This window comes from Homo sapiens, chromosome 21 (assembly GCF_000001405.40).
Source record: "Homo sapiens chromosome 21, GRCh38.p14 Primary Assembly".
Lineage (NCBI taxonomy): Eukaryota > Metazoa > Chordata > Mammalia > Primates > Hominidae > Homo > Homo sapiens.
In genome coordinates this window covers 36,955,812-36,979,168 of record NC_000021.9, presented here as the reverse complement: position 1 = coordinate 36,979,168, position 23,357 = coordinate 36,955,812, and the positions used below count along the sequence as shown (strand labels likewise).

The 23,357-nt window shown below is 47.9% G+C and overlaps 1 protein-coding gene and 1 long non-coding RNA gene across 17 annotated transcripts in view, besides 5 other annotated features; one reads left to right on the top strand and one right to left on the bottom strand.

The window, feature by feature from the left end:
• HLCS (holocarboxylase synthetase) overlaps window positions 1-23,357 on the top strand; it is a 241,587-nt gene that overhangs the window by 11,043 nt on the left and 207,187 nt on the right. For 9 of the 16 annotated variants that reach the window (NR_148021.1, NR_148020.2, XM_024452065.2 and 6 more), the window contains exon 2: window positions 16,999-17,133. Coding sequence is in view for 5 of the 16 variants with exons in the window: in NM_001352514.2 (NP_001339443.1) it covers window positions 12,531-12,725; window positions 16,999-17,133 (330 nt within the window). In the remaining 11 variants the exon portion in view is untranslated. Of the gene's footprint in view, window positions 1-12,499; window positions 12,726-12,776; window positions 16,304-16,810; window positions 16,879-16,996; window positions 17,134-23,357 lie in introns of those variants that run through there. The other 7 variants (NM_001352514.2, NM_001242784.3, XM_047440753.1 and 4 more) reach the window with 3 other exon arrangements.
• On the bottom strand, window positions 4,001-12,710 carry HLCS-AS1 (HLCS antisense RNA 1). Its single transcript, NR_186434.1, has 4 exons — window positions 12,558-12,710; window positions 10,362-10,615; window positions 6,920-7,162; window positions 4,001-5,569 (listed from the first exon to the last, which is right to left on the bottom strand). It is a non-coding gene; the product is annotated as an HLCS antisense RNA 1 (long non-coding RNA).
• Window positions 12,118-12,587: a silencer, noted in NCBI's record as "silent region_13291". NCBI's record gives its function as "represses an Ori minimal core promoter by ATAC-STARR-seq in GM12878 lymphoblastoid cells {active_cell/tissue: GM12878}" and the evidence as "EXISTENCE:reporter gene assay evidence [ECO:0000049][PMID:35858748]".
• Window positions 12,658-12,987: a silencer, noted in NCBI's record as "silent region_13290". NCBI's record gives its function as "represses an Ori minimal core promoter by ATAC-STARR-seq in GM12878 lymphoblastoid cells {active_cell/tissue: GM12878}" and the evidence as "EXISTENCE:reporter gene assay evidence [ECO:0000049][PMID:35858748]".
• Window positions 12,658-13,038: a biological region, named in NCBI's record as "ReSE screen-validated silencer GRCh37_chr21:38338431-38338761".
• Window positions 12,708-13,038: a silencer, noted in NCBI's record as "fragment chr21:38338431-38338761 (GRCh37/hg19 assembly coordinates)". NCBI's record gives its function as "represses an EF-1alpha promoter that drives an FKBP-Casp9 reporter gene in an ReSE screen in K562 erythroleukemia cells {active_cell/tissue: K562}" and the evidence as "EXISTENCE:reporter gene assay evidence [ECO:0000049][PMID:32094911]".
• Window positions 13,098-13,147: an enhancer, noted in NCBI's record as "active region_18441". NCBI's record gives its function as "activates an Ori minimal core promoter by ATAC-STARR-seq in GM12878 lymphoblastoid cells {active_cell/tissue: GM12878}" and the evidence as "EXISTENCE:reporter gene assay evidence [ECO:0000049][PMID:35858748]".

Below are 23,357 nucleotides of genomic sequence, written 5' to 3'. Positions count from 1 at the left end.
TCCCCAGTAGCTGGGACTACAGGCGCCCGCCATCATGCCCGGCTAATTTTTTTTTGAATTTTTAGTAGAGACGGGGTTTCACTGTGTTAGCCAGGATGGTCTCAATCTCCTGACCTCATGATCTGCCCGCCTCAGCCTCCCAAAGTGCTGGGATTACAGGCGTGAGCCACCGCACCTGGCCAATTTTTTTTTCTTTTAAGCAGTGTGATTGGTTTTCCCTGAGTACGGAAGTCTCAGTCCCAGAATATGTTCAGATTGGCAGAGGAGAAATTCGGTTGTCATGTGACTCACTGGCCCCTCATGGAGCTTTTAGCCACAGGAGAGGATGCATCTGTGCTGGTTTTGCCGCAGTGTCTGGAGTTCCCAGCTGAGTCCGCTGTTGAACAGTTCTCTTCATGTGCTTTGCTCGGTGACACGTACATTCCCAAGGCGTCTGCTACAGGGTCTCTTTAAGGGTCTCCCGACCCTTCAGTCCTGCCAGCTTCGCACTCTTCTCTGCCCCAGCTAGTCTCTGGCCTTGCACCCTGGGGCTCTTCTTGCCCCCTTCTCAGGGCTCAGTGTGCTCTACAGGATCCCACCCAGCAGTCCTCAGGCTGCAGTTTAATCAGGACGCTTCCAGCCTCCTTCCCACACTGTGGGGTCCTATTCTTAATTTTCTTTTTTTTTTTTTGTTTGAGGTGGGAGTCTTGCTCTGTCGCCCAGGCTGGAGTGCAGTGGCACAATCTTGGCTCACTGCAACCTCTGTTTCCTGGATTCAAGTGATTCTCTTGCCTCAGCCTCCTGAGCAGCTGGGACTACGTTGCACCACCATGCCTGGCTAATTTTTTGTATTTTTAGTAGAGATGGGGTTTCACCATGTTGGCCAGGCTGGTCTCGAACTCCTGACCTCAGGTGATCCACCCGCCTTGATCTCCCAAAGTGCTGGGATTACAGGCATGAACCACCGCGTTTGGCCCCTATTCTTAGTTTTATAAATTAATGGGATGATAAAAGCAGCAGCGTAGGACTTGGAAACTGACTTGTTTAAACTAACACAGTTGGCAGATAAAGTAACTTAACCTGAAGGAGCACTTCAAGTGGTTGGGATTTCTGGCACCATGATTGACCAGTTGAGGAAAATTCAGGCAGATGGGCTTTTCCGTGCCTGAAAAAGGCAACTCGATTTACTGGGAAGGAACTCCCCACCCCGACTTTGTGTAATAGTTTCCCCACGAAGAGCGCTCATGAGGATGAAGTGAAAGCGCGTTGCCCTTCTATTCCCTTCCTGTTCACTCTGCCCAGGTGGGCAGTTGCTGGGTCACAATAGTCTGCACTCTTAGCCTGTGTGGCTGTTCTCTGTGAACCCGCCCACCCACACCAGGTGGATGCTATTATTATTCCTGCATTGGAGCTGTGGAACGAGAGGCATTTGCCCTGGTCACATGGCCACTGAATGTGTGCATTTTGTTGGGGAGTTGGGGGGTCAGAGGCAGTATCTGAACCCAGGGTTTCTGATTCCAGACCATGGCCTCTATTGCTTCACTACACAAACGGCAACTCACACAGGCTCAATATTGGGCTGCTGGGCAGGATGACTGGCTAATGCCTTTTTCATGTGGTTGTAAAAGTTTTAATTTCTTTCCACATTCATTTATTTGACCTCTTAAAGCTGCCTCTGTGCAAACCCTTTAAAAGTGAAACATTTGTTCAAGAAATGAGTCACGATTGTTAGGAAGACAATGATGAACATATTAGGAGTGGGGCTCCCCCATTTGCAGAGCAATCTCCCATCCATTGAGGTGGTTTAGACTTTTGAGGGTGTTTTGGAGGGTGGGGGCAGTGGCCCCATGTGCTTACCTGGAAGCTTATGGTACTGATCACCCCTCTGGAGGGCCTGTCTGATAGGCAGGAAACTGCTCACAGATTTCTCCCTTCGCCCAACCAGGACCTGATTTTTACATGCCTGAAATATAAAGGACCACTCCCCTCTGCTGGACGAAGATAAATTTGCTTTTAACAGAGAAAAAATTTGTGACCGCTTCGCTCTCTAGTGGTCAACTAGGTAAAAGAGCTAGCAGTTCTACGTCACTTTACAAACTGAGGTATGAACCTCAGTTTTTGAGGTAGTTGCAAAAACTTTCAGTGAGCACCTACTATGTATAGGCACAATGCTAAATACCAGGGATATGAAGGTGAATAAGAGAGCACCAATATCAAATGTTTGTAGATTGCATCATATTGTAAATGTACGAGGACCACAGAATTTGAGAGATGGAGGGGAAGTTAGAGATGATCTGGCTTGTGTCCCTCTTTTTTTTTCCTAAGTTGAAAAACTGTGACCTAGAGAGATGAGATAATTTGCTTAAGATCACATGGCTGGTTCGGAAGAGGGGAAAAAAGGAGTGCTGATGAAATTCAGTGGAATGTCACCTTCTAATTTTTATCACCTATTATTTTGAAATAATTTTAGGCTTACAAAAGAGAAATAGTACAGAGAGTTCTTTGAAACTTCACCCAGCTTCCTCTAATGCTAACATCTTACACAACCATGGATTTACCAAAACTGACATTGGTGCAACATTATTATTATTATTGTTATTTATTTTTTGAGACAGTCTGGCTCTGTTGCCCAGGCTGGAGTGTAGTGATGCAATCTTGGATCACTGCAACCTCTGCCTCCCGGGTTCAAATGATTCTGCTGCCTCAGCCTCCCGAGTAGCTGGGATTGCAGGTGCACACCACCACGCCCAGCTAACTTGTATTTTTCTGTGTGTGTATGCGTGTGTGTGTGTGTGTGACTGACTTCCTTAAAACAGTAATGACTTACTGATAGTCAGCTATTGTACAGAAAGGGTATCACAAACCTCTTTGTCTTTTGGATCATGCCTCTGTTTTCAGAGCAGGTTGTTTTCCCAGGTGATTTTGATGACATCCCACCTGCAGCTTTTTAGATGTGTCCAAGTTGGGGACAATCCCGGCCTGTTCAACTGACCTGGATACAAAGGCTGTCAGGGCTGGCAGTGGTGCACCTTGAACCTTCTGCCACTCTTGCGTCTTGGATCTTGAGTTTCATTTCTATTTTTGTCGGGTATAGAGCATTCTTTGCTCTTGGTTGCCTAGTTTATCCAGAGAAGGACTTTGGGGCCAAAAGGACACAAATTCAAACATCAGTTTCCCCACCTAATTATGGGAGCTCAAGTTCTAAAATTCAACTGTTCTAAAATTCAGTTTCTTCCTTTGCAAGATGGGGACAATAATGGTCACCATGCAGAGTTGTTGAGGGATTAAATGTATCCAGTAATTGGCATAGCACCTCGTGTGCAGGAGGTGCAGAATGAACGTGGAATAAGTGAATGGCTGCCAATGAGGGAGACCCGGTTAGGTGGGTCCAATGGAAGGTCTTTTTCTTTTCTTTTTAGAGATGGGGTCTCTTCTGTTGCCCAGGCTGGAGTGCAGTGGTATGAACATGGATCACTACATCCTGGAACTCCCGGGCTCCAGCAGTTCTCCCGCCTCAGCCTCCCAAGTAGCTGGGGCTATAGGCACGTGCCACCATGCCTGGCTAATTTTTAAATTTTTTGTAGAGATGGGGTCTCACTATGTTGCTTAGGCTCAGTGGAAGGTCTTGAATGCCAGGCAAGACTGCCTGCACTTTCTGGGGTGGGGGCAGGCACTGCAGGAGTTTGAGAAGCAGGAGTGATGGGATGAGCGCTGTGCTTTAGGCAGTCAAGTGCAGAGTGTGCTGGATGAGGCAGAACCGTGGGAAACAGGGGACGGGCACCGGGAATCATCCAGCAGGCTGTCGTGCTAGTGCCTGTTCTGGTGAGGGCTGAGCTGGGCCTGGACTAGAAAGAAGGGACCATGTGAGACTGTGCAGAGGTCCCGCCTACCAACTGCTATGGAAATAAACAAGACACAGGGGCTGGAGAAGTTGGGACTCCAAGATGCATGAATTCTGGGTCCTAGTGAAAAGGTGAACAAGTCATGAACAGAGATAAGAGAAATCAGGATAAAGAGATAATTTGTGGGAGGAAAAAATGCATTTGGTTTTATTCATGTTGCCTTTGAGATGCTGACAGACTATCCAAGCAGAGACAAGTGGAAGAGATGATTGCGGCGCCAGAGCCTGGGAGAGGCCAGAGCTGGCCATGAGGACTGAGCGTCACTGCCAGAGGTCACCAAGGAAGAGAACATAGAGGAGGCCAGAAGTTGGGGGCAGAGGCTCACTTATGGCCGACAGTTGAGAGAGGGGTTAGAGACAGAGACGGAGAACTTGGATGTGCTGGTTCGCAAGGGCTGCTATAACTAAGTATTGCAGACTGGGGCTTCAACAACAGAAATTCATTTCCCCAGTTCTGGAAGCTAGAAGTCCAAGATGAAGGTGTGGGCGGGGTTGGTTTCTCCTGAGGCCTCTCTCCTTGGCTTGGAGATGGCTGTCTTCTCCCTTTGTCCTTACAGGATTGTCCCCCTGTGCATGTCTGTGTCTAGTCTCCTCTCCTTATAAGGATACCAGTCATAACAGATTAGGTGATGACCTCATTTCACCTTAATGACTATTTTATCCTTATAAGGATACCAGTCATAACAGATTAGGTGGTGACCTCATTTTACCTTAATGACTATTTTAAAGTACCTGTCTCCTGATGCAGTCCCATTCTGAGGTACTGGGGGTTAGAACTTCAACATTAGAATTTGGGGGGACACAGTTCAGCCCATTAACCCTGGAACAGAAGCAGAATATTGAATTTTAAAAGAACCCAAGGGAGGAGTTTCAGGAAGGCCAGGGGCTGGCTGTGGCCTGTTTGTCTTAGACACACCCTTGCCTCCTGCCGCCTCTCTATCTCTCTCCTCTGGTCCACAAGGAGGTTCCTGGAGGCTCTTCTGCCGTGGGGCCTCTAGTGAAGTTCCGCCATGGGGCGTTGGGCTGGAGGTGTGGAGCGGCTACAGTATTTTTCCGCCTTCTTCCCCTGCTGATGTCTCCAGCAGCAGTTGTTTCTCTGTGGCTCCATCTCCCACAGCACTGATCTGTGGGTTCCAGCTTCCACCAGGGGACCCTGGATCCCGGGCGACGGTAACTTGACCTGTGTTGTGTGCCCTCAGCCCTACAGAGGGTCGCGGCTTCTGCTCTTTCTATTCCCTGGGTTGCCTCACTGTCCCTTCTGTGGTGTGTGTCCGTTTGTTTATTTATTTATTTATTTCAGACGGAGTTTCACTCTTGTTGCCCAGGCTGGAGTGCAAGGGCATGATCTTGGCTCACTGCAACCTCCGCCTCCCAGGTTCAAGCGATTCTCCTGCCTCAGCCTCCCAAGTAGCTGGGATTACAGGTGCCTGCCACCATGCCCGGCTAATTTTTTGTATTTTTAGTAGAGACGGGGTTTCACCATGTTGGCTAGCTGATCTCAAACTCCTGACCTCAGGTGATCCACCCGCCTTGGCCTCCCGAAGTGCCGGGATTACAGGCATGAGCCACAGTGCCCTCCCTTGTCTGGTGTTTTGTCATGTTGTAGCCAGCTCTCTGTATTAAATCCCCTCTGAGTATCTAGTAGTTTTTGTTGATTGGTAGAAATAGCATGGTCAGGAATGCCAGGTACTGCAGAAAGATGGAAGGGATGGAAATGGAAAATGGTCAGATCTTTGAGCAATGGGGGTAGAGCCCAGAATTCCAGGGCTTGAGAAGGGGATTTCTGCCAAACCGATGGGTGTATACCAATTCTCATGAAGGTCTTAATTTGGACCTACTTTGAGACTGCATACTTTTTCATATTTATCAGACAGCTGGGTACAGTCTGTTTTTGAAGTGCTTTTTCAGCTTTAGCTGTCCTCCTTTTTTGGTTTTCTGACTTTTCCTCATTGATTTGGAGTTCTTTGTATATTCTAGATATGAATCCTTTATCAGTTATGTGTGTTACAAATACCTATTCTCATTCCAGAGCTGCTAAAAAAAAAAAAAAAAAAAAAAAAAGACAGGGTCTTTCTCTGTCGCTGAGGCTGGAGACCAGTGGTGCGATCACAGCTCACTGAAGCCTTGACCTTCTGGGCTCAAGTGATCCTCCTACCTCAGCCTCCCGAGAAGCTGTCACCACAGGCATGCACCACCATGCTTGGCTAATTTAAAAAAATGTTTTGTTTTTTTTTTCATAGAGATGGGGTTTCCCTGTGTTGCCCACGCTGGTCATGAACTTCTGGACTCAAATGATCCTCCCACTTTGGCCTCCCAAACTGTTGGGATTACAGGCATGAGCCACTGTGTCTGCCCCCAAGTCCTTTTTAAATTAAATTTCCTTTTTATACATTTCAGTGGCCTGATTATGTAATTCTTATCAATCTAGCAGATTCAGTATATTAATATGGCAAACCTAATAATATTCCCTTAGATGTTTCAATACTATTCATAAACTCAGTAAGATTTCAATATAGAAGTACCCATTTCAAATTAGTTATAAGAATGTACTTAAAACAGCCACATACTCTAACACACTTCAAGTATATATAAGACCAAAAATATGCATAGATTCCTTATTAATACAGAAATATAAATCTATGGCTTTGCTTCTTTCAAGCCTTTCTATATGTAACTCAGTTTTACTGGATTAGGAGATGGATACTGTACAGTTACTGTCCTAGTTAACTGAGGCCATTGTCCATCAGAGGTTTCACTGGGTTTCTTTCCTCAGTCTTTAAGGAGACAGTGAATCCTACTTATTGTCATTCTGTCAACAATTCTGAAATCTCAAGGAGGGTGAGGCCAGGCACGACACATGCCTGTAATCCCAATGCTTTGGGAGGCTGAGGCAGGAGGACAGCTTGAGGTTAGGGGTTCAAGAGCAGCCTGGGTGGTAGGGCAAGACCCTGTCTTTTAAAATAATAATAAAAAAATTAAATTCAAAAGAAGGAAGATGATCTCTTAGCCTCTTTTAGTTGAAGTTAGAACATTACTTACCTCTGCTTGCTCATAGAAGTCTGTAGCTCCCACATAGACTGATAAATTCTCAGGATGAATTTAATTTTTACAATCTTTGGAATGAATAAAATCTTGTACCATGTCCTGTTTTTAGGCTGATCCAACTCTGAAGGAGTCTTAAACCAGATGCGATGAGCTTTGGTTCTCTCCCGCGACTCTGTGCTTCGGAATCCCAGCTTTAGGGTCTTTGTATTGATGCCCTCTTGGGTCACAAACAACCTTCTAAAGGAAGAATTTGCCACCTACTAATCTTTATCAATACAACAAATGAATCAATACAAACATAACCAAATAACGAGACTCAGCAGTAACACATTTTATCCTACATTCTTTTCGAATATTTAAATTTTATTGAGGATAACCATGGATTTCATGGCTCTTCATTTTTTTTTTTTTTTTTGAGATGGAGTCTTTTTCTGTCACCCAGGCTTGAGTGCAGTGGTGCAATCTCGGCTCACTGCAACCTCTGTCTCCTGGGTTCAAGTGATTCTCCTGGCTCAGCCTCCTGAGTAGGTGGGACTGCAGGTGTATGCCACTGCGCCTGGCTAAGTTTTGTATTTTTAGTAGAGATGGGGTTTCGCCATGTTGCCCAGGCTGGTCTTGAACTCTTGATTTCAGGTGATCTGCCCGCCTCAGTCTCCCAGAGTGGTAGGATTACAGGTGTGAGCCACCGCGCCCAGCCGGCTCTTGAAAATTGGGTACCTTCATAATTGGGTGTATTTCAATTTGATACTCAAATCGTCCTGATTTGGCACTTCTAGCTTGTCTCCTGCATCCTTCTGCCTGGACCTATTTTTCTTTGAAGCTTCTCCTGCTTCCTAGCATAAGATGTTCCAGCTTATCTGGTATCTCTTGAACACCAGAATCAGTGATTTCTCCAAGGATTTCTAGTTCCTTGTAATGAGGAGAAGAGCACCCATTCAAGAATCTGAGCACTCAGGTGCATCTTGGGGTAAGGCTACTCTGAGGCCATCTCAGTGAAAGAGCTAGGAAAGATAATTATTTTCCTCTTAAAGACATGAGTTCAAATGCATATTTCCAATAGTTAAAGATGTTCTAATTTAAATTCTTTTGATGCTCTAAATATTGTCTACTTTTCTCTTTATTTTGATTAACAAAATAAAATTACTTTTTGCTTGATTTGACGATTGTTCCAAAAACAAGAACATGTTAATATACGTATTAAAGTTACTGAATAGAGATCAAGATTTTCTTTTCTTTCTTTTTTTTTTTTTGAGATGGAGTCTTGCTCTGTCGCCCAGGCTGGAGTGCAGTGGCGCAATCTTGGCTCACTACAAGCTCCGCCTCCTGGGTTCACGCCATTCTCCTGCCTCAGCCTCCTCAGTAGCTGGGATTACAGGCGCCCGCCACCACGCCTGGCTAACTTTTTTGTATTTTTTAATAGAGACGGGGTTTCACTGTGTTAGCCAGGATGGTCTCGATCTCCTGACCTCGTGATCTGCCCATCTTGGCCTCCCAAAGTGCTGGGATTATAGGCGTGAGCCACTGTGCCCGGCGAAGATTTTCTACATAGTTCCTTGGTTCTTAGAAAGTATCCCAGGCTGGGCACGGTGGCTCACGCTTGTAATCCCGGTACTTTGGGAGGCCGAGGCGGGTAGATTGCTTGAATCCAGGAGTTCGAGACAAGCCTGGGCAACATGGCAAAATCCTGTCTCTACAAAAAAATATAAAAATTAGCCAGGTGTGGTGGCATGTGCCTGTAATCCCACAACTTTGGGAGGCTAAGGTGGGCAGATGGCTTGAGCTCAGGAGTTGGAAACCAGCCTGGGCAACAGGGTAAAACCTTGTCTCTACAAAAAATACAAAAATTAGCCAGGTGTGGTGGCTCATGCCTGTAATCCCAACACTTTGGGAAACTGAGGAGGGAGGATTGCTTGAGCCCACGAGGTCGAGGCTGCAGTGAGTCGGGATTGCACCACTGCCCTCCAGCCTGGGTGACATAGCAAGACCCTGTCTCAAAAACAAACAAAACAAGCTATCCTTCTCAGCTCTGGCCATTTGACTGATGAGAATTCTGAATGCTCTCCAAGTTCAAACAGGTACTGAGTTAATGTCAGTATGATAGGCTTTCCCTGGGGAAGTTCTGCCATGTATTTAATGGGGGATAGGACAGTAAACACTCTACTCTCTCTTGTCCCCAAACTATTATTCCCAGGGCATGCCTTCCTAAGGGCAAGAAACTAGAGACTTTTTGAGTCTGTGGAGACTTTTCCTATAGAAAGCCGGTCATGTTGATGGGTTTCAGAGGTGGTCTTCAGTGGCTAGCTGGGTCATTCTTGTTCCTTTCTGCAGTGTTCTTATAAATGACAAAGTCTTGCTTCTAAATCCCTAGTCTGACCGGGCGCGGTGGCTCACGCCTGTAATCCCAGCACGTTGGGAGGCTGAGGTGGGACGATCACCTGAGGTTAGGAGTTTGAGACCAGCCTGGCCAACATGGTGAAACCCCATCTCTACTAAAAATACACAAATTAGCCAGGTGTGGTGGCATGTGCTTGTAATCCCAGCTACTCGGGAGGCTGAGGCAGGAGAATCACTTGAACTTGGGAGGCGGACGTTGCAGTGAGCTGAGATCGCGCTGCACTCCAACCTGGGCAAGTGAGACTTCATCTAAAAAAAAAAAAAAAAATCCCTAGTCTGTGGTCTTATTTTCCACATCATTTTGGAAATGTCTTATTAGAGTCTAGAGTAGCCCAGACCCAGGGAATGACAGAGGAAGATGTTAGCAGTGCTTCTCTAACTTTAATGTGTTTGTGAGTCTCCTGGGATTTTGTCAAAATGCAGACGCTGATTTGGGGTTGGGTGGGGCCTAGGATTCCGCTTTTCTTGCGAGCTTCCAAGTGATGCTGCTGCTGCTGCTCTAAGGACCACACTTTGAGCAGTGAGGGACTACAGGATGAGGATCAGGTGCATACACATTAATATCCCTTGGTGTATTATTTTTGCATCCTTCCCCTATTCCTTTGTTATATAGGGGTGATGAAACTCAACTCTATCCTTGACCTTTGCAAAATGAAATCATTTTAGGGCGGGATCATAAACAGAGCTTGTTATGTGACTGTTTCACTTCTCACTGTGCCCTTCATATCTTCCTCCCTCTATTCCTTCCCCAGGCATGAATGGTATCAGTACTCTTCAATGCAAGGGTCAGCTCATGTTGAACCATGGTGGTCCCCATGCTTTTAACCTAGAATTGGTATACAGGATTGACCCCAAAATGTAATTTTCCCATGATGTATTCTGAGACCATATCTCGAAACACCTAAGGGTAAACCTAGAAAATTCCTATTGGCCAGGTGGAGTTAGAGTACCTGTGGGAAGGTGTGGTCTCAAAACCCTTAGGGAATTTGGAAAAACTGGAGATGTTGGTCACCTTCAGATAGAGGAGATGACCTCTCCATACCTAGCAGGGGTGGGGAGTGGTCCTTATAGCCATAATTCAGCAAACTTCAAGAAGGCTATCTGAAAGGTTGTTCAGTGAAACATTTAGGATTTATCACTGTTGAGCACTTTTCATCTTCAAATTCCTGACTTGTAGTCCTGTGTTGTCCTGGAGTGGCCAAGTCTCTCCTCAGCGGGAACTGCACGTCCTTCTCCAGTGACACAATTTTAAGGTCTTGTTACCATGCAGGAACCCACTTTCCGGCTGCCACTGTCCTGTAGAGAAGTGTAGGATATGGCTTTAGTCCTGTTTATCACTTTGTTTTTCTTCTATTTCTGGTCCACAGAGATGCTTGCTTTTAAGCCCAGTTATTTCTTTTTGGATTTTCTCTCTTTTAAAAATCTATCGCTATATGCAAGGGGGAAAATATACTATGTTATCTAACCAAAAGTCTGAAGTTCTGGGAGTGGGTGTTCTATGCAGCTATATTAAAGCAGATGAACAAATGGCCAAGGTACTTTAAAAATCTATCTTTATGGCTAGGCGCCATGGCTCAAACTTGTAATCCCAGCACTTTGGGAGATCCAGGCAGGAGTTTGACTGCTCGAGACCAGGAGTTTGAGACCAGCCTGGGCGACACAGCGAGACCCTGTCTCTATGAAAAATAATTTCTAAAAAATTAGCTGGGCATGGTGGCCAGGAAGATCACTTCAGCTCAGAGTTCGAAGCTGCAGAGAGCTGTGATTATGCCACGGCACTCCAGCCTGGGCGACAGAACGAAACCTTGTCTCTTAAAAAAAATCTATCCTAGCTGGGCGCGGTGGTTCACGCCTGTAATCCCAGCACTTTGGGAGGCAGAGGCGGGTGGATCACCTGAGGTCAGGAGTTCGAGACCACCCTGGCCAACGTGGTGAAACCCTGTCTCTACTAAAAATACAAAAGTTAGCCAGGCATGGTGACGGGCACCTGTAATCCCAGCTACTCGGGAGGCTGAGGCAGGAGAATCGCTTGAACCCAGGAGGCAGAGCTTGCAGTGAGCCGAGATTGCACCACTGCACTCCAGCCTGGGTGACAGAGAGAGACTGTCTCAAAAACAAACAAACAAAAACTATCCTTAGATTAAGACATGGACGTGGTGTACATGATTGCTTTTGCTGCATCTTGCCACCTATTTTCAGCGAGGGCCAGAATAGGAAGCCACTGGATGGAATTCTTTGCTGTGCTTCGCAGCTGTTCAGAACACGTTCTTTACATAATGCCTTTTAAAGAAATGAGGTTCTATGGGAGAAGCCTCTGTGTCAGGACTAATTATGCTTCCCTTGGAGACAAGAACACCAAATCATGGTGATGTTTTCCTTTTCCCACTGGTGTTAGGATGCTTACAGTCAAACTGTTGACCCACATGTAGCAAGAACACCATAGGGAGCCTTCCTGGCACAGCCTTTTTAGAGGCAGCCTTCTTGGTGCTTATCTGTCTTCAATTTCTGTTTCCTGTCCTTATTTAAAAAAACATTATTGCATCCCGTGAATGTATGTGATTGACCTTAAAATCTTTTGCATGAAGGCTTAGTATAATTTAATAAAAACGGCCTTATCTTATTTTCCCAAGTCGACTGGGTAGCGGCTGTGGAGCGCTCTGGGACTCCCGGTGTGCTGCTGGTTAGTAAAGGTTGGCCTTGGCAGCTATGAACATAGGCAGAGCCCCCTCCTCAATCCGCCTCCCACCCCTCCAAGGAAGGGAGGCCGGACTTGGCTTAAACAGGTCGGGCAGCCACTGGAGCCTCCCCTCCCCCGCATCCACAACATACCCATCCCACTCCTCAGCCCTGGCGCGGCCCCGCACCCCGGCCTCCACTCCCTCGAGCCCCCTCTCCGGGTGCAGCCCCGGCGTCCCCTGACCCCGGTGCACACCCCCCGCCCCAGCGCTGCCCCTCGCCGCCGCCACCAGCCCTGGGCGCGGCCTCCGGAGCTCCCCATCACACAGCCGGGCGCGGCCTCACCCCCCCCCGCCCCTCCCGCCGCAGCCTCCAGTTGCCCGCGTCACCTTCCGGGTCCCCGCCTCCCCCGCCGTCCCCACCCCCGCGCCGCCTGGCCCGGGGGGGCGGCGCGGCCCTTCCGGCCGGGGCGGGGCCGGGCCTGGGGCGCTGGGGCGGGCGGGCAAGGCGGGCTCGCCCTGCCGGCGGCGCGGCCATGCTCATCACGCTGTGCTACCTGTACCTGTGGGCGCGCTGGGGTCGCCGGCCGGCTGAGCTCGTGCGCGCCACGGTGCGGCGGCTGCGTGCCTCGCGCTGTTCCTTCACCTTCTGCGGCGCGGCCGCGCAGCCCCCGGGCGCCCGCGTGTGCCTGAGCCGTGGCGGCCGCGTCTTCTGCGTCAGCGACAGCCAGGTGGGCGGGTCGGGCGGGCGGGCGACCCGGGCCCCGCGAGCCGGAAGTGCCCCCGTCCCTGCGCCTCGTCCCCGCCGGGAGCCCGGGAGTTCGGGAGCCCCGGAGTGGCGCCCTCAGTGCGGCCTGTGCGGCCCGGGAGGGGCTGTTGCCCCGGGGCCCAGAGAGAGGCCGGAGGTGCGGGACTCGGACCACGGACCCGGTCGCCTCTTCCCGGCCAGCCGGGCGGTGCTGGACGCGTGACTCTAGGCGCGCACCTGTGAGGACGTGAGCTGTGGATTGACAGCCGGACGCCAGCAGTGCCCACCTGGGGTCGCCCCCAACCTCCTCTCCCACACTTCGAGCCGGCGTTTGGGTGACCGTGAACCAGGAGAGACAGCTGTGGCGGGCCGGGAGCGGTGGCTTATGCCTGTAATCCCTGCACTCTGGGAGGCCTAGGAGGAAGGACAGCTTTGAGCCCAGGAGATGGAGACCAGCCTGGGCAACATAGCTAGACCCCTCTCTACAAAAAACAAAACAAAAAAAACACTTAGGTCGGCGTGGTGGCACGCGCCTGTAGTCCCAGCTACTCTGGAGGGTGAGGCGGGAGGGTCACTTGATCCCGGGAGGTTCACTTGAGCCCCGGAGTTTGAAGCTACAGTGAGCTATGATTGAGCCATTGCACTCCAGTCTGGGTGACAAAGCAAGACCCTGTCTTAAGAAAAAAAAAAAAAAATCCCAAACAAAAAACTCCCACCTGTGTCATCAGCTTTTTGTCAGATGTCCCCAAATTTACAAAAACTGCCCTTTTCCCTCTCCATCTTCTGTCAGTTGGTTGCATCATTCACCAACTTGGGCACCCGACTGATGGTCTTTGCGTCTTTTAAATTTCAGTTGACAGTCAGCCTTTGTTTTTTTTGACCCAGTGCTTAGGATGGTGGTTACGTGTTCAGCCCACTCTGTCACCTACCTTGTGACTTGGGCCAGTCAATTAATCTCTGTAAAAAGTCTGCTGCCTTGCTGTAAAGGGAACAATAGATCTTTCCATTCAGCTGTTTTTGGAAATGGGCTTAGCTTCACAGTGCAGTACTGCACAAAATTTCATGGACATCGGTAGCATTGTTCTCATTAATATTTAAACGTGTTTTGCTTTTAATCTGTTTCTTGTCCCTTTCCTCTGTTTTCTGGAATATTGCCTCACTTTTAGCACTAAAATGACGTTTTCTGCATATGTCACACCGTAAAGCCCCTGTGGGGAATTGAATCTTATCTCAGGTTTGAACATTGCCTGGAGGCTGTGCTTAGATATGGGTTGAAATTGTGCCACTAGCAAATAAAAAATACTCTTTCTTGTTAGTACCATATATGTATTATGTCACACTGAATATGAATGACTGTTTTCTCAGGTCCCCCAAGGTACTAGTTATGCAAATAACTAGTACCACCTCCACATAACTGACACTACCCAGACAAAAGGGGAAGAAGTTCATGCATTACATACAATGTATGGCTTAGAGCGTTGGGAATTAACCTGATTGAGAAAGATAACTCAATAAAATGGCAAAAAATTGAGGGGTGAGCTTTTTGTAGTAGTTTCCAAATTGGATCAATTACATTTAGGATTTAAGTCAGAATAGAAATTTTGGACATATAAAAACATGGAGATGGGAATGTCTGATTTTCTTGGACAGTTTTACTTTTGAACATTTTCATGACTCCGCTGGCCTTCTGTTAACTACACTAACCATAACTAGTGATTTTCAGCCCTTGCCTACCTGTGCAGGCCGGAGTAGGAGTGGCCTGGTGCTTTCATGGATTCTGTAACTCTGCTCTGTCACTCTGCACAGTAAGCTTTGCCTACAGATTTGGTTAGATATTGCTGCGTCATTTCCTAGTTTTCCAGACTAGATGGGATGGCCATGCTCTGCATCCCTGTAGCCTTTAAATCACAGTTCCTATTCTAGTTCGTATCTTTTTCTTATTAGGAAATGAGACTGTTTAGCATAGCAGCTTGACCTGAAATAGTAAATTTAATAGTTGTTGGGTTTAAGCTGTGATGTTGAAGGTCTACAGGTGGAAAGCTTGACCATTTATTTGTGGTTGGCTACTGTTATTTTGAGATTTAAAATATGATCAGGTTGATGATTTGGTGGATATCTCAGTCTGCTTGGGTCTACTTTTGAGGGATACCTCAGTCTACTTGGGCTGAAATAAGGACACACCTGAATCTCATGCCCATATGTTGAGATGGATCTCATTCTGTCACCCAGGCTGGAGTGCAGTGGCGCGATCTCCGCTCACTGCAATCTCCACCTCCCAGGTTCAAGTGATTCTCCTCCTTTGGCGTCCTGAGTAGCTGGGATTACAGGCATGAGCCACCACGCCTGGCTAATTTTTGTATTTTTAGTAGAGACAGGGTTTCACCAAAGTGTTGGCCAGGCTGGTCTCAAACTCCTGACCTCAGGTGATCCGCCCACCTTGGCCTCCCAAAGTGCTGGGATTACAGGTGTGAGCCACCAAGCCTGGCGTGTTCTCATATGTTATACACTTAAAATCAAATGCATGAATACTGAATATGTGTGTTTATAATTGAATGCCCTACAATCAATTGATAAGTTTAACCAAAGACAGTTTATACAAATTGGCAGTATCAAGCTTTTTGTCTGTTTAATGTACACATTCTATGCTTGGATAAAGTGGACATACTTTTTTTTTGAGATGGAGTTTTGCTCTTGTTGCCCAGGCTAGAGTGCAATGGCACGATCTCGGCTCCCCGCAACTTCTGCCTCCCGGGTTCAAATGATTCTCCTGCCTTAGCCTCCCGAGTAGCTGGGATTACAGGCATGCACCACCATGCCCGGCTAATTTTGTATTTTTAGTAGAGACAGGGTTTCTTCATGTTGGTCAGGCTGGTCTCCAATTCCCAACCTTAGGTGCCTCAGCCTCCCAAAGTGCTGGGATTACAGGCGTGAGCCACCGCGCCCGGCCTAAGTGGACATACTTTTTAACCACTATATTGATAATTATGTTTACTGAGGGAGGGGCAAATTCTCCCCTAAATTTTCATTCATTATTTAGTTCAATAGGTTTTTATCAAGCAGATTTGAACTGATATGCAGCACAGTGGAGCCTGCCTAGTTACCTTCGTTCTGGGTGATGGTGAAAGCCTCCTGCATACCCCGCTCAGATTTCATCTTTTTCTTCTCTGGCTATATCCTGTATGTGAAAGCCTTTTCAAATCAATTTGCTGTTTTTCTTAGAGAGATTTCAGGAAAGAAAACGAGAGATAACTGGGTATTTCTGATTTGCTAACCAATCTTGATTCTAATCTTCTTTTTGAAAAACTACAATCACTCCTGACTGGAGTTTACATTCCATTAAAGTATGTCTGATTGCGTCTGCATATGGTAAATGCCTTTCCCTGAAATAGCTTTTCTCTCTGGATTTAACTGCTGTGTGAGCATCCAGAGACTTGCACACTTCCCAGATCTCCGGGAGAGGAGCAGGGTTGATTTCACTATAAGGAAGGTGTAAAGAAAAACTGCCTGGTGCCCTGTGCTGTGATGGCTGTAGGGAATGAAGGAACAGCCCTTCAGGCTTCTGTGAGTAAGGAGCTTCTGTTGGTGGGTACGTACTTCTAGGCCTCCTCATCTTTTTTTTTTTTTTTTTTTTTTGAGATAGGGTCTCACTCTGTCACCCAAGGCTGGAGTGCAGTGGCATGATCTCATCTCACTGCAACCTCGGGCTCCCAGGCTCGAGTGATCCTCCCACCTCAGCCTCCTGAGTAGCTGGGACTACAGGCACCCACCCCCATGCCCAACTCATTTTTTTGGTATGTTTTTTGTAGAGATAAGGTTTCACCATGTTGGCCAGGGTGGTCTTGAACTCCTGGGCTCAAGCGATCTGCCCACCTTGGCCTCCCAAAGTGCTAGGATTACAGGCGTGAGCCACTGTGCCGGCCAGCCTCCTCATCTTTAAATGTACTTCCCGGTTAGCTACTGTGTGCTAAGCAGTGAGGAATGGCGGGGATAGGCCCCGTTTCAGAATTCATGGCTTGAAAACAGTGGTCTAGAGATATTAAAGCTGTCCTGAGTCATCGATGGGCTTTTGCAGGTGCTTAAACAGTCACAGCTAAACAAGAAACACACGGTTCCTGCGGCCTGCAGAGGAGCATCAGATAAGCTTATTTCCATGTCACTTGGAATTATAGGGGAGGGTATGTTTCAGAGGGGGTTGAAATTTATGGCAGTTGTGGTATGAAGTGACAATCTCATTATATTTCTTTCCCTCTATACAGTCCATTGAAGACTTGAACAAGTGGGCCCTATTTCTTGTGTCTCCTTTTATACTTGAAGCAGAACACATAGCATTTGTGACGGAGAGCATTTGGGTACAAAGTGAGAATTTACAGAGATCATCCTCTTCAGAAACAGTGAGTACCATGTTTACTTGTGTCCCATAAGGAACTGATGTGTCTTAGTCAAAACCAAATTTGCTTTTTTTTTTTTTTTCCTGAGACAGAGTCTTGCTCTGTCACCCAGGCTGGAGTGCAGTGGTGTGATCTCGGCTCACTGGGACCTCCGCCTCCTGGGTTCAAGTGATTCTCATGCCTCAGCCTCCAGAGTAGCTAGGACTACAGGCGTGTGCCACCACACCAGGCTAATTTTTGTATTTTTAGTAGAGTCAGGGTTTTGCCATGTTGGCTAGGCTGGTCTTGAACTCCTGACCTCAAGTGATCCACCTGCCTCGGCCTCCCAAAGTGCTGGGATTACAGGTGTGAGCCACCACGCCCGGCCTCAAATTTGTCTTTTTATGAGTGCTCTTTCCTAGCCTTTGTGGCTCCCTTTCTCTTTGGATATTTTGGGTTAAATATATTAGTAAAATTATTTTCACCTGTTTCTTTTTATGTTTTTAATGTGGCTGCTAGAAAAATTTATTGTTATTATTTTTCAGACAGGGTCTTATTGTGTCACCTAGGCTGGAGTACAGTGGTCATTATAGCTCACTGAAGCCTCAAACTCAGGGCTCCAGGGATCCTACCTCCTCAGCCTCCCAAAATACTTGGATTAGAGATGTTAGCCACCACGCCTGGTCACTGCTAGGAAAGTTAAAACCACGTGTGTGGCTTGTATTTGTGGCTCACGTTATATTTTTATTGAGCAGCACTCTCTCTCAGGTCATCTCATCCATTCCTACAATTTCTTGCTTCCTAAATCAACCTGAGTGGCTGGGGTATATCACCACCTACGTCCTAAACGTCTTTCCTTGAGTATTCTGAAAATACTTCAACCTCAGCCACATGTCCAAAATGAGTTGTGTTTGTATTCTTCTGCTTCAAAGAGAGAAAATCCCAAATTAACACGCCAGCCGGCTTTTCCTCGCACCTCCTCCTCGCTTCCGTGAAGTTATGAGTTGTAACAGCACTCCCTAAATTGTTAGCTCCTCTCCTTCATCTCCACTGCTCCTCATTCCATCCTCATGTTCATTATCTTTTGTCTGAGCTGTGAAAATACCCTGTCTCATGTCCCTTCTTTGGGCATTCCTCTTGATGGCCAGAGTTAGTCATTCTGGACCCACATCCAGTTGGGACAGTGTTGCATAAGCTTTTGGTGGATGTCATCCCTCCAGGTGCAGTCCATGCCCTGAGGCTCCTGGAGGTCTGACCCCAGTGTACCCTTGCAGCTTCCTTCCCCTCACTTGTGGGTCCTCACCCGCCATTGTTCCCTGCTATGTAGATCATCCAGTGGGGATTTTGCTGATGCTAGCCATGTTTACTGGATTCCCATTTCATGAAGATTATCTGTAAGATGCTGTATTGAGAGAAGAAGAAAAATGGGGAAGTAAACAAGAAGTAATTGACTGGAATTCAGGGTGAACCAAAATAAGGGGAGGCAGGTGCAGATAGTATAGGATAGCGAGAGACTTTCTGATGGGGGCCCTGGAGCGGGCAGAGCATCAGGCAGATGGGCCTGGAGCAGTGCAGTGTGTTAAGACAGTACGTTCTCTCCTGAAGGTTTGTAATGTTTCGTTTAGCCCTGTAGACACTTATGATAATAATAAGCCATTTATTGAGCCCTTGCTAGGTATTTTATAAACGTTACCCCTAATGTCACAGGATCCTTGGGGTGTCGTTTCACCAGACAGAAACCTCTGTGGCTAGCGGTGCCTTCTGCCTAAGTATTGCTTGTGCCCACTGGTCTTATTCCACCCACTTGGCCTGGCAGGCTGCACTCAGCTCATTCTACCAGCTCAGATTGCACACCTACCAGGGGCAAGCTGGGTGCAGAGCGGCAAGGGGTGTGTGGGTGAGAAGTGCAGGGTCGGGGGGGGGGGGGGTGGGTGGCTCCATGCAAGGCTGTGGCTGGACCAGGTGTACTGAATGAGGCTTTTGCTGTGGGCACCTGTGTCTGGACAAGGGGAACATGGTGGCACCTGGAAGCATGGAGACGCTGGGAACCGCAGAGCCCCAAAGAGGGTGTTTACAGCCTTGGCTTGGGGAGCCCCTAGATCTTGGCTTCTTAAAGGGCCACAGTTCTTCTCTCCTTCTTGTTGCCTGCAATGTAGTGAGTACGGGGACATGTTTCAGCCCTGGTTTGTCTTACAGCTCTTTTAGTACTGCCATTCGGTGGGTCCTGAGTTATTGTCCTGCATCCAGGAAGAATGAGGTATGTGGAGGGTGAGCAAGGCAGAGAGGAACTTCACTGAGTGGCAGAACAGCTCTCAGGAGACCTGAAGTGGGTAGCTCCTTTCTGCAGCTGGTAGTCCCAGCCTCTGTGTGAGTCTGGCTGGGTCTGAGGTTTTCATGGGCTCAGAAGGGAGGAAGCGCGTGCTGATTGGTCCATGGGCAGCCATGGGCGGGCCAGAAAAAGCACTCTAAGTTCTCACTCTGGGCCACAGGCTTCACCTGGAACTGACAGCCAGGTCCCCAGGTTTTGGGCTGGTCTTGGCTTGAAGGCAGGGCGTCACCAGGGACCCGCCCCTTTCTACCTATGAGCCTGTCTGCCTTCTGCTGTCAGTCATGTTGTCCAAGGTGCCCAGGCTGTTTGTGCTGAGGGGTGCCTACAGGCCTGCAACCAGCCGTCCTCAGCCCCTCCTCGGCCTCCCTCCCATCCTCGTGGTCCAGAGTGGCTCCTAAAGTCTAGAGGGGGGCTGAGGTGGCAGGGGGCTGGTGTGTCAGCGCCATCCTGAGCAGCACCCACCTGGCCGGGTTGCGACACCGCCCAGGCTCAGCTTCAATTTTGCTCCAGAATCAGAGCGGGCACAGGGAGCAGGAAGAGGCCAGGCAGCGGGATCAGGCACTTCCAAGCCTGTGGGGAAGCGGGGGCCTCTGGGACCCCTGAGAGTGCAGGGATGCCCAGGTCCGCAGCTGTGGCTGGGAGGCTGCAGTTATGCCTGGGAGCACTGGGCTCCTGCCCTGCCAACTCAGAAGCGGGAAGGGCTCCTGCCTGCTCCCAGCTCCCCCTGGTTCCACAGAGCGCGTATCCCTGGCCGCGCCTACCCTGCTCCAGACTGGCTGCAGCTGTCATCACTAATACTTAACGGCTCTACAAAGTATTATCATTATTATTATTGCCATTTTGAAGATAAGAAAACTTAGGTTATAAGATTAAATGACATTCCTAAAGTGATAGGAATATCATTGCTAAGTGACAGACAAAGTTTTCTTTCTTTTTTTTTTGGAGATGGAGTCTTGCTGTGTTGCCCAGGCTGGAGTGCAGTGGTGCGATCTCAGCTCACTGCAACCTCCACCTCCCGGGTTCAAGCAATTCTCCTGCCTCACCCTCCCAAGTAGCTGGGACTACAGGCGCACGCTGCCACGCCCAGCTAATTGTTTGTATTTTAGCAGAGACCGGGTTTCACCGTGTTGCCCAGGCTGGTCTCGAACTCCTGAGCTCAGGCAATCTGCCTGCCTCAGGCTCCCAAAGTGCTAGGATTACAGGCGTGAGCCACTGTTCCCGGCCTAGACAAGGTTTTAACCAGCTGCTAAGTGAGAGATAAGATTTTAACCAATGCTTCTATCCTTTCTAGTAACTAGAGAACGAATTAATGGTTTTAAAGAGATCTAGATCATTGAGATTCCAAAATAAAGCTTTTATTAACCTAGGTCCAGTCAAACAGTACTTGTGTCTCTTATGTTTGGTAGAAGACGACCAGCTGTTGATACGACGGTTTTGGTGAACTCAGGGCTAATTTTCTTTCTTTCTTTCTTTCTTTTTTTTTTTTTTTTGAGACAGTCTCACTCTGTCGCCCAGGCTGGAGTGCAGTGGCGCGATCTCGGCTCACTGCAAGCTCCGCCTCCCAGGTTGACGCCATCCTCCTGCCTCAGCCACCCGAGTAGCTGGGACTACAGGCACATGCTGCCACATCCGGCTAATTTATTTATTTATTTATTTATTGTATTTTTAGTAGAGACGGTGTTTCACCATGTTAGCCAGGATGGTTTCGATCTCCTGACCTTGGGATCCACCTGCCTCGGCCTCCCAAAGTGCTGGGATTACAGGCGTGAGCCACCGCGCCCGGCCTCTTTTTTTTTTTTTTCGAGACGCAGTCTTGCTCAGTTGCCCAGGCCGAAGTGCAGTGGCGCGATCTCGGCTCACTGCAAGCTCTGCCTCCCGGGTTCATGCCATTCTCCTTCCTCAGCCTCCCGAGTAGCTGGGACTGCAGGCGCGTGCCACAACGCCCAGGTAATTTTTTGTATTTTTAGTGGAGACGGGGTTTCACCATGTTAGTCGGGATGATTTCCTGACCTCGTGATCCGCCTGCCTCTGCCTCCCAAAATGCTGGGATTACAGGCATGAGCCACTGCGCCCAGCCAATTCAGGGCTAATTTTCATATGCAGAAAAGACGATTCATAAACTTTATTTTTATTTTAAAAATGATTTTGAATTTATTGAAAATATAAATTAAATAATCAAGTAGGTCAAATCACATGAAATTGCTAATATCTGGCTTTTCTTTTTGAACTACAAAGAGGCCTTGTCATATGGTAACTGTATTAGGCAGTTCTTGCATTGCTATAAAGAAATACCTGGAGCTGGATAATTTATAAAGAAGAGGTTCTGCGAGCCATACAGGAAGAGTGGTGCCAGCATGTGCTTCTGGTGAGGGCCTTGAGGAACAGTCATGGCAGAAAGTGACAGAGGTGCAGGTGTGTCACATGGCAAGAATGAGAGTGAGACTGAGCTGGGGGAGGTGCCACACATTTTTAAACAACCAGGTCTTGTGAGAACTCACTCACTATAGGGAGGACAGCACCACACTATTCATGAGGGATCTGTTCCCATTACCCAAACACTTCCCCCACAGGCCCCACCTCAACCACTGGGGATTACATTTCAACGTGAGATTTGGAGGGGACAAACTTCCAGATTCTATCAGTAACCAATTCCTTGGGCTTTTTTTTTTTTTTTTTTTGAGACGGAGTCTGGCTCTGTTGTCCAGGCTGGACTGCAGTGGTGCAATCTTGGCTCACTGCAACATCTACCTCCTGGGTTCAAGCGATTCTTCTGCCTCAGCCTCCCAAGTAGCTGGAATTACAGGCACCTGCCACCATACCCGGCTAATTTTTTGTATTTTTAGTAGAGACGGGGTTTTACCATGTTGGCCAGGGTGGGTCTTGAACTCCTGACCTCAGGTGATCTGCCCGCCTCAGCCTCCCGAAGTGCTGTGATACAGCCATGAGCCACCATTCTGGCTCCTTGGACTTTTATTTATTTTTTATTTATTTATTTATTTTTGAGACGGAGTCTCGCTCTGTTGCCTAGGCTAGAGTGCAGTGGCACGATCTCGGCTCACTGCCAACCCTGCCTCCCGGGTTCATGCCATTCTCCTGCCTCAGCCTCCCGAGTAGCTGGGACTACAGGCGCCCACCACCACACCCGGCTAATTTTTTTTGTATGTTTAGTAGAGATGGGGTTTCACCGTGTTAGCCAGAATGGTCTTGATCTCCTGACCTTGTGATTTGCCCACCTCGGCCTCCCAAAGTGCTGGGATTACAAGTGTGAGCCACCACACCTGGCCTACAAACTCAAATATCTTAAAATATTTCATTTCATTTTAGGACTCTAGGTACACAGAATTGGGTTAACCATACTCCTTGTTCCAAATGTACTCTCATCGTTGGTTTATGCATGGATCTCATTCACCTGTGGATTTGAAATAATACAATAAATACCCATGAACTCACCGCTAGAACTACACGTGCCTCCCCACCCCCTGAGTCCATCTACTTGCTCCTGCTCCTTCCTCATGACTCCCCCTACCCCTCCTCCCAGTTTCTTTTTAGATTTTTAAGTTGTCTGGATTAACAGACACCACGTTTTTGAACACTTACATAATTCGTATACATTATAGTTAATGTGTTGCTTCACGACAGATACACATTGTGAGAAATGCGTCCTTAGGTGATTTCATCATGCAAACATCATAGAGTGTACTTATACAAGTCTAGATGCTGTAGCCTACTTTACACCTGGGATTTATGGGGTAGCCTATTGCTCCTAGGCTATAAACCTGTACAGCATGTTACTGCATTGGATACTGTAGGCAGCTGTAACACAGTGGTAAGTATTTGTGTATCTAAACATAGAAAAGGCACAGTAAAGATACAGTATAAAAGATAAAAAACAGTACACCTGTCTAGGGCACTTGCTATG